Raw genomic sequence first — 9,704 nt, forward strand, 5'->3', positions numbered from 1 at the left:
AGACAGGGCCGAACTCTGTTGCCCAAGCTGAAGTGCAGTGACACCATCTCAACTCACCGCAACCTTTGTCTCCCAGGTTCAAGCAATTCTCCCACCTCAGTCTCTCAAGTAGCTGGAACCACAGGCACATGCCACCATGTCCAGCTATTTTTTTTTTTTTTTTTTTTGGTAGAGATGGGGTTTCACTATGTTGGCCAGGCTGGAGGGGGTCACATTTCACCATGAGATTTGGATGGGACAGATTTCCAAACCACGTCATCTATTTAACCACAGTGACAAAGATTTCAAAGACAAATACACAAAGTTGCATACTTGTAAAAATAAAACAAAAACTTTGCTCTTGTAATGTCTTTTGTGTTGTTGTTGAGACAGCATCTCACTGTTGCCCAGGCTGGAGTGAAATAGTGCAATCATAGCACACTGTAACTCTGAACTCCTGGGCTCAAGCAATTCTCACACCTTAGCCTCCTGAGTAGCTGAGACTACAGGTGTGCACTATCATGCCCAGCTAATTTTTCATTTTTTGGTAGAGACCAGGTCTTGCTATGTTGTCCAAGCTAGTCTCAAACATCTGGCATCAGGCATTCCTCCCACCTCAGCCTCCTAAAGCATCGGGATTACAGGTATGATTCACCATGCCTGGCCTTCTTTCAATATCTTTTAATATTTTGTTTTCTTAAGTAATCAAAGACCTGATAAGGACAACAAGGAGAACAAAAAAATTATTTTGATAATTTGATTATTTGACAGGTAATGAAAACTCTTGTACAAAAATCAAGAAAACTTTGTTCTTTCAACAGAGAAAAGACCAAATTCTAGTTTGCTCACTTGCTTGCTTGCTCTTGGCTCTCTCTCTGCCTCTCTCTTTTCCCACCTTTCTATATTCACTTAATTTTTGTCTTTTATTCTTCTCTTTTTAAAATTACAAAACAATCTTTAAATAACCTCTAAACTAGGATAAAATTATTCTCCTTTTCCCTCAACAAAATTCATCTTTTTATACCTCACAACTTTTCTTGCCAAAAACACATCCTACTTTCATTACGTTCTTTGCATACAGAGTTTTGTTTCTTGTTATTTCCAGTAGTTTTATGACATATTTTTGTTTGAATTTTAACCTTAATAACCCTAATTCCCAGTAACAACTAGAAATAAGCAATTGTGAACTTCGTGTTGTGTACTAGCATTCTGTCATAGATTAGGCAAGTTGTGAACAAACCATTTCATAATTTCTGGAGGCGTAGGCCTCTTTCATAGCTTAATTTTTTTAATGTAACAAGAAGAACACATTATTAACAGGTCCAAATATCTTTTGTCTTTGTATCAATTAAGAAGCTCAAGTAGATGAACTTATATTCAGTAATTAATGTTTTGGTATTTCATCTTATTTGTAAATGATCTAAATATTCAATTAATATTTATCATTTAACTTAACATAGTATAACTTTAAGATTTCAAATTTCCAAAAAGATTTTGGAAACTATTTTTAAGCAGATATATTTTTATAAAACATAATCATTATTATAAGGTTTATTTGTAAACTTTTATCCTATTTACATGTATTTAATTGACTTATTCTTTAAAATTATGTTTCAATTACTCATGAAAATTCCATGAGATATTAGACAAAGTTAGTCCTCATTTTAAGCTCTTTTTCTTATCGGTAATTTTTATAACCTATTAGGCAACCATCAAACATCATAGAAGCAAAGCACCAGAAAATTTAAACATATAGCTTTTTTCCCCTTTACCATCACTCTAGACATACATTAAGAAATTTACTTTTGTTGTATGTTTCATTTTTAAGTTGAATTTATAATCTTAAAAACTTAAATGTCAAACAGAGATAACATGGTTTGTTTGACTAGTAACCCCAGATAGAAAAAAATTATATATTTGAATTATATTTGACAACCTGAAGACATGCCTGTTTTTATTAAACCAACAAACTTGAGCTAGCTTTATTTACCAAAAATTATCCCACCTCATATGAGCTTGGAAAACATGTGAGTTAGTCTCTATATTTCTCTATATATAAGCATTTATGTTTTTTTCTTTAAGGCAATTAAATAGAGCTCTTTTACAAGTTACTTTCGGCAATACCATCCAGGGGTAGAAAAAATATTATATATATCAACAATCACACTCATACATAAACGCATAGCCCAGATGCAAACAGAGATATTATAGCTTTCATTCTAAAATTTTAGCCGTGAAGCAGGTATAATAACACAGAACTCACTAGTTTATCACTAGTTTATAAAAGAAAAGTTGGTGCTAAACTGTGTTTCAGGCAGATGGAAAAAGTTAAGTTCACCTGCTCAGATACAGATGACTTTTTAAAAATATTTGTGGAGAGACTTTTAAGATTTTTTATTTGCTTTTGATAGGTAATCTCATGGAGGCTATGAACTAGATTGGGGGAAAGGAAATGTTCCTCATGGTTCGGAGTTGTTTGGTTTTTAAGCCACTTTTTTCTGTTGTTTTTTTAGTTGCAGCTGGGCTGGGCATAGAAATTGTTTTAGTTAACTCCTCAGATGTTTACATTGTGAAGACATAGTAAGGTTTACATCTCCAGGGGACTGAGAAAAGATGTGGGTTTTCTCCAAGAAAGACTTTTGGAATATATTTGCCTATTATTAGGCATATAGGGTAATTTTTTCTTTTTCTTAAATATTTATATTACTTTGAGTGTAATGAGATGCTTCTTAGTGTTTCAAGATGGAGAGTGAATTGGTGTTGAGAAAAGGGGAATTGCTGAGGAGCAGTTGAGTATTATTTCAGAACGAGTGACTAAGAAGATGATGCTGTTTTTACCACAGATGGTGAATACAAATTGGGTTGTGAGGGCTAATAGTGAATTCAGTCTCAAACATTTAGAGTTTGAATTACTTACTTAACCTCTAAGCTAAAAACATTGGTCTATACTGACTTACTAGTAAAAGAGTCAAGGGCAAGCATCAATATTTGTAAGTCATAAGGTGATCCATAAGTGATAATTCCATAAAGGGAGCACCTGCAGATCAGGGCTTAGGCAGAGAAACATCAAAAGCCAATGTGAGGCCGGGCACGGTGGCTCATGCCTGTAATCCCAGCACTTTGGGAGGCTGAGGCGGGCAGATTGCCTAGGTCAGGAGTTTGAGACCAGACTGGCCAACATGGTGAAACCCCGTCTCTACTAAAAATACAAAAATTAGCCAGGCGTGGTGGTGGACACCTGTAATCCCAGCTACTCGGGAGGCTGAGCCAGGAGAATTGCTTGAACCTAGGAGGCAGAGGTTGCAGTGAGCTGAGATGGCGCCACTGCACTCCACACTCCAGCCTGGGTGATAGAGTGAAACTCAGTCTCAAAAAAAAAAAAAAAAAAAAAAAAAGCCAACCTGAAAGGAAGCATTCAGTGAGGCAGAAGGACCAAAAGAGAGGTGGGAGGTGTGCTGAAGAAAACCGAGTAAGAAAAAAATCACAAGGAGAGAAGGAGTAAAGAGAGTACATGCAACAAATGTCAGAAAAGGAGAGGCCTGGAAATCAGGGCTAGATTTGGGGATTCCGATGTCATTATTATCTTTGCAATTAAAAATCATTCTTCATTTTCCACAGAAACTGATGCAGAGCCTCATCAGTTTAATTTCTGCAACAACCAAAAAAATTACTTACATGCAACTGGTATAGATAGATGTTGTTTTTATATTTTATGTTTCTGTTTTATGATTATAACAATTCCTTGTTTTACTTCCTGTTATTATTTTGTGTTTCCAATAGAAAAGGTTCAATTAAGTGGTTGAAAAGCTTCAGGAAGAAATTTAAGCTAAATTGAAATGAGGGAGTAACATCAGCAAGATAATGAAATGGAGGATCCCCTACTATCACTCCCTCCATAAAAATACAACTAGAAACTACTTAAAGACAAGAACACAACCCTGAGTTCACCACAATTCAAGGGAGAATTGAAGAAACCTCCGGGGCCCTCAGAATTGAGAGAAGCTGTGACAGGTATGAAAAATGGCTGTTTCAGACATTGCAGCCCCCTCCATCAAGCTGGCATAATGTCGCTCATAGAGAATTTTCCTAGACTCATGGTTTCTAAGGTAAGAAGAGGGAGTTGGAAGTGGACATACGATCTCCCCACCAGTCTGGGAATCTTCTCAGGAAGCCCACTTCTGCCCCATCCCATGGGAACAATTGGGAGTGTCAGAAGGGCTGACCAACCTTGGATGAAATGAGACAAAGAGTGGGACACTGATCATAGTGACTGGCACGTGGATCTTGGCAGTTAACTCTTCACTCCAATCAGTATGGACACCACATTGAAGAGACTGGCTGGCACCATAGTGCTATAGGGGACACAGTCTGTGAGAAGGCCTGAATCCCTGGACAGATTTCAACAAAGACTAGGTGTTCCCATGGAGCCTCCACTGGACCAGAAACAACTAGAAACGTTGGGATTGAGTTCCAGTGACTGCTTAAGTCTTCCACAAACTGGGAGACAGTGGCAGGGCAGCCACATAGCTCCAGAGCATTGTTAACTTAGTACTCACAATAAGTTTTCCCCACACTGGGAAATAGTGGCAGGGCAAAAGTTAGTTCCAGTGCAGTGATTTAGTTCTGGTACTCACTATAAATTCTCCCAAAAAAAAAAAAAAAAAAAAGAATATCAGCAGTTAAGTTCTGATACTAAGTAGTAAAGGTCAAACACCACCAAAGAATACCTGCAAGTAATGGAAGAGGTAGCTATCTCCTAAAATGTGCAGGTATTAAGGCAAACCCACAAGAATTGTAAAAACCCAGGGAAATATGACCTTACCAAAAGAAATCAACAAAGCTCCAGCAATGGAGCTAGAAGAAGTGAAGACCTAGGAAATGTTAAACAGACAATTCAAAATAATCCTCTTAAACAAATTTAGAGAATCATAAGAAAATATGGATAGAAAAAAAATAAAATTTGGAAAGTAACCCAGGAACAAAATGAGATATTTGACAAAGAAATAAAAGAAATAAGAAATAAAAACAAACAAATCCATTATTTCTAGGGTTTCTAGAAATAAAGAAACCGTAACTAAACTGACACAATAACTAAACTGAAAAACTCATTGGAAAGCTTCAACATCAGACTTGATTAGAGAAAAGAATTAGCAAGTTTGAAGACAGCACATATGAAATTACCTAATCAGAGGAGAAAAAAAGAAAAAAGAATTTAAAAGCATAAAAAAGAACTTTTTAAGAATTATGGCACATGATCAAGCAAACTAACCTCTGCATAGTAGGAATTCCCAAAGGAGGCAAGAGAGAAAAAGGCCTAGAAGACATATTTAACAAAACAATGGTGAAAATTTCCCAAAGATGGAGAAAGAGGACACCATTCAGATACAGGAATCTTGGAGGTCATCAATCAAATTAAACCCAAAGAGGAAATCCCTAAGGCATATCACAATCAAATTAGCAAAAATCAGAGACAACAAAAATACTCAGTGCAGCAAAAGAAAAGAAAAATATTACATTAAACAAAGCACCAATACAGCTTTCACTGGATTTCACAGCAGAAATCCTACAGGCCAGGTGAGAATGGGAAGCTTGAAAGTGCTGAAAGAAAAAAAAAAACTGTCAACCAAGAATAATGTGCCCAGCAAAGCTATTAAAACAAGAAGAGAGATAAAGACTTTCTCAGACAAACAAAAACTGAGGGAATTTGTCAGCACCAGACCTGTGTTACAAGACATGCTAAAGAGAGTTCTTCAATCTGAAAGAAATGGATGCTAATGTGTAACAAGAAACAATCTGCAGGTATGAAACTCATTGGTAAAAGAAAGAAAACAGACCAATTCAGAACACATCAATAGTGAAATTAGGGTAAGTAAATGACCTATATCTTAAATATGAAGATTAAAAGACAAAACCACTAAAAACAATAACTACAATTTATTAAGAGATGCACAATGTAAAAAAAGTAAATTGAAACACAAAAAAGTCAAAATGTGGTGAGAGGATGTTATTAAAGTGTAGAGTTTGTTGTTTCTTATCTTTTCTTTGCAATAAAATATAAGTCACTATCAGTTTAAAATAACTTATTATAAATATAAGAGGGTTTTTGTAAGCCTCACGTTAACCATAAAGCAAAAACCTACAATAGATATATAAAAATAAATAGCATGAAATAAAAACGTACTACCAGAGGAAATCACTTAACCACAAAGGAAGAGAGTGAGAGAGGAAAAGGGAAGAATTCACAAAACAACAAGAAGTCAAGTAACAAAATGGCAGTAGTAAACCCTTACTGTGAATAATAACTTTGAATGTAAATGGATCAAATTGTCCAACCAAAAGACATAGAGTGGCTGAATGGATTTAAAAAACAAGATCCAACTGTATGCTATCTACAAGTACTTCACTTAATCTATGAAGACATTCACAGACTAAAAGTGAAGGAATGAAAAAAGATATTTCATGCAAATAGAAACCAAAAAGGAACAGGGATAGGTTTACTAATATCAGATAAACTAGACTTGAAGCCAAGAGTCATTTTTAAAATGACAAAAAAGAAAGCCATTATATAATGATATAGGGGACAGTACAGCAAGAATACATAACAATTGTAAATATATATGCACCCAATACTGGAACACACAAATATGTAAAAAAGTTAATAGACTTAAAGGGAGAGATTGACTACAATAAATAGTACTAGGAGATTTCAACACCCCATTTTCAGTGATGGCCAGATCACTCAGACAGAAAAGTAACAAAGAAACATTGGAGTTAAAATGAACTCTAGACCAAAGGAACATAACAGATATTTTATGTTATGTTATATTTTATTTTATTTTATGTTACAGATATTACAGAACATTCCATCCAACAGCTGCAGAATACACATTTTTCTCAACAGCACATAGAAGATTATCCAGGATAGATCATATGTTAGGTCCCAAAACAAGTCTTGACACATTCTTTAAAAATCCAAATCATATCAAGTGCATTTCTTACCACAATTATTCCAATTATTCTACCATTCTGGAATAAAACTAGAAACCAGTTTTAAAAAAAGGAACACTGGAAATTGTACAAACTCATGGAAATGAAACAACATACTCCTGAACACTGAATGGGTCAACGAAGAAATTAAAAAGGAAATTTAAAATTATCTTCAGACAAATGAAAATGGAAACATGACATACTAAAGCCTATGTAATATATCAAAGCAGTTCTAAGAGCAGTTCTGTAGCAATAAATGCCTACATCAAAAAAGTAGAAAGACTTCAAATAAACAACCTAAAGATCACCTCAAGGAACTAGACAAGCAAAAACAAACAACACTCATAATTCAGATAAAGTATCTATCTGAACAATACAAAAGATTGAAGTAGCAAAAATTGCATTTTTGAAATAATAAATGAAATTAACAAAACTTTAGCTAGACCAAAGAAAAGAGAGAGGACTCAAATAAATAAAATCAGAAACAAAAAAGGAGATATTACAATGGATACCACAGAAATAGAGAATCATTAGAGATTATTATGAATAACTATATGCCAATAAATTGGAAAAACTAGGAAGAAAAAGATTAATTCCTGGGCCCTTACAACCTACCAAGATGAAACCAGGAAGAAATAGAAAACCTGAACAGACCAATAACAAGTAATGAGATTAAAACAGTAATAAAAAGTATCCCATCAAAGAAAAGCCCAAGATCTGAAGGATTCACTGTTGAATTCTACCAAACATTTAAAGAAGAATTAATGCCAATTCTACACAAACTATTCAAAAATCTTAAAGAAGAAGGAATACTTCCAAACTCATTCTATAAGGCCAGCATTACCAAGATACCAAAACTAGACAAATATACAATTAAAAAAGAAAACCACATATCAATTTCATTGATAAACATAGATGCAAAAATTCTTAACAAATATCATCAAACTGAATTCCACAACATATTTTAAAAGATCATTCCATCATAGTCAAGTGAGATTTATCCAAGAGATGCAATAATGGTTCAACATATGCAAATCAGTAAACTTGATACACCACACTGACAGAATCAAGAATAAAAATTGTATGATCATTTCAATAAATGCTTAAAAAGTATTTGATAAATTTCAACATTTTTTCCATGATTAAAACTCTCAACTAATTGGGTATAGAGGGAACATACTTCAAAAAAATGAAGGTGAATATGTGAAAAACCCACAGCTAACATACTGAATAAGGAAAAACTGAAAGCCTTTCCTCTAAGATCTGGAACACAACAAGGATCCCCATTCTCACCACTTTTTCAATAGAGTACTGGAAGTTCTAGCCAGAAAAACTAGACAAGAGAAAGAAAATAAAGGACAACTAAATTGGAAAGGAAGAAGTCAAGTTATCTTTGTTCATAGATGACATGATTCTAGGTTTTGAAAACTTTGCAATTCCATGAAGAAACTATAATAACTAATAAACAAATTTGGTAAAGTTTCAGGATACAAAATCAACATATAAAAATTAGTAGCACTTCTACATGCCAGTGGAAACAATCTGAAAACAATCAATAAAGTAATCCCATTTATAATAGCAACAAAAAATTGAAATAGCTAAAAATAAATTTAACTGAAGAAATGAAACCTCTCTACAAGGAAAACTATAAAACACTGACGAAAGAAGTTATAGAAGACTCACAAAAAATGGAATGATATCCCATGTTCATGGATTGGAATAATCAATATTGCTAAAATGTCCATACTACCCAAAACAATCTACAAAGTCAATGCAATCCCTATCAAAACACCAATGATATTATTCACAGAAGAAGAAAAAAACAATTTTAAAATTTGTTTGGAACCACTAAAGACCCCAAATAACCAAAGCAAACCTGAGAAAAAGAACAAAGCTGGAGGTATTACACTGATTTCAGAATATACTGCAAGGCTATAGTAATAAAAACAGCGTACTGGCATAAAAACAGACACTTAGGCCCAATGGAACAGAATAGAGAACACAGAAATAAATCCACATGTTTATAACCAAATCATTTTTGACAAAGGTGCCAAGAACATACTTTGGGGAAAGAACAATCTCTTCAATACATGGGAAAGCTAGATATCCATATGCAGAAAAATAAAATTAGATTTCTATCCTTCACAATATTCCAATACCAAATATAAAGGGATAAAAGATTTAAAAATAAGACCTGAAACTATGAAATTACTAAAAGAAAACAGCGAGGAATCACTTCAGGACATTGGTGTGGGCAAAGATGTATGGGGTAAGACCTCAAAAGCACACACAATAAAACCTGGATATAGACAAGTTGGATTACATCAAGCTAAAAATGTTTTACATAGCAAAGAAAACAATCTATAAAGTTAAGAGACAACCTACAGAATGGAAGAAAATATTTGCAAAGCATCTATCTGAAAAGTGATTACTAAACAGAATATATAAGGAACTCAAACAACTCAATAAGAAAAAAACAAATAATTCAATTTTTAAAATGGGCAAATGATCTAAATAGACATTTCGCCAAAGCAGACATACAAATGGCAAAGAGGAATATAAGACAAGTGTTCAGTACTGCTCATCATCAGGGAAATATAAATCAAAACTACAGTGGGATATCATCTCACCCCGGTTAGAATGGCTATTATCAAAAAGACAAAAAATAACAAATGCTGGCAAGGATGTGGCGAAAGGGGAATGGTCATATACTGTTGGTGGGATAGTAAATTAGGCTG

General features: G+C 34.1%; 1 long non-coding RNA gene across 1 annotated transcript in view; it reads left to right on the forward strand.

Moving 5' to 3' along the window:
- The window catches only part of LOC105378808 (uncharacterized), a 32,591-nt gene extending 23,868 nt beyond the window's left edge, over positions 1 to 8,723 (forward strand). Inside the window, exon 3 of the long non-coding RNA XR_001738109.2 lies at positions 3,760 to 8,723. This is a non-coding gene — a long non-coding RNA (uncharacterized LOC105378808). The remainder of the gene's footprint in view (positions 1 to 3,759) is intronic.
- The last annotated feature ends 981 nt before the right edge of the window (positions 8,724 to 9,704 follow it).

Source organism: Homo sapiens, chromosome 1 (genome assembly GCF_000001405.40).
Source record: "Homo sapiens chromosome 1, GRCh38.p14 Primary Assembly".
Taxonomy (NCBI): domain Eukaryota; kingdom Metazoa; phylum Chordata; class Mammalia; order Primates; family Hominidae; genus Homo; species Homo sapiens.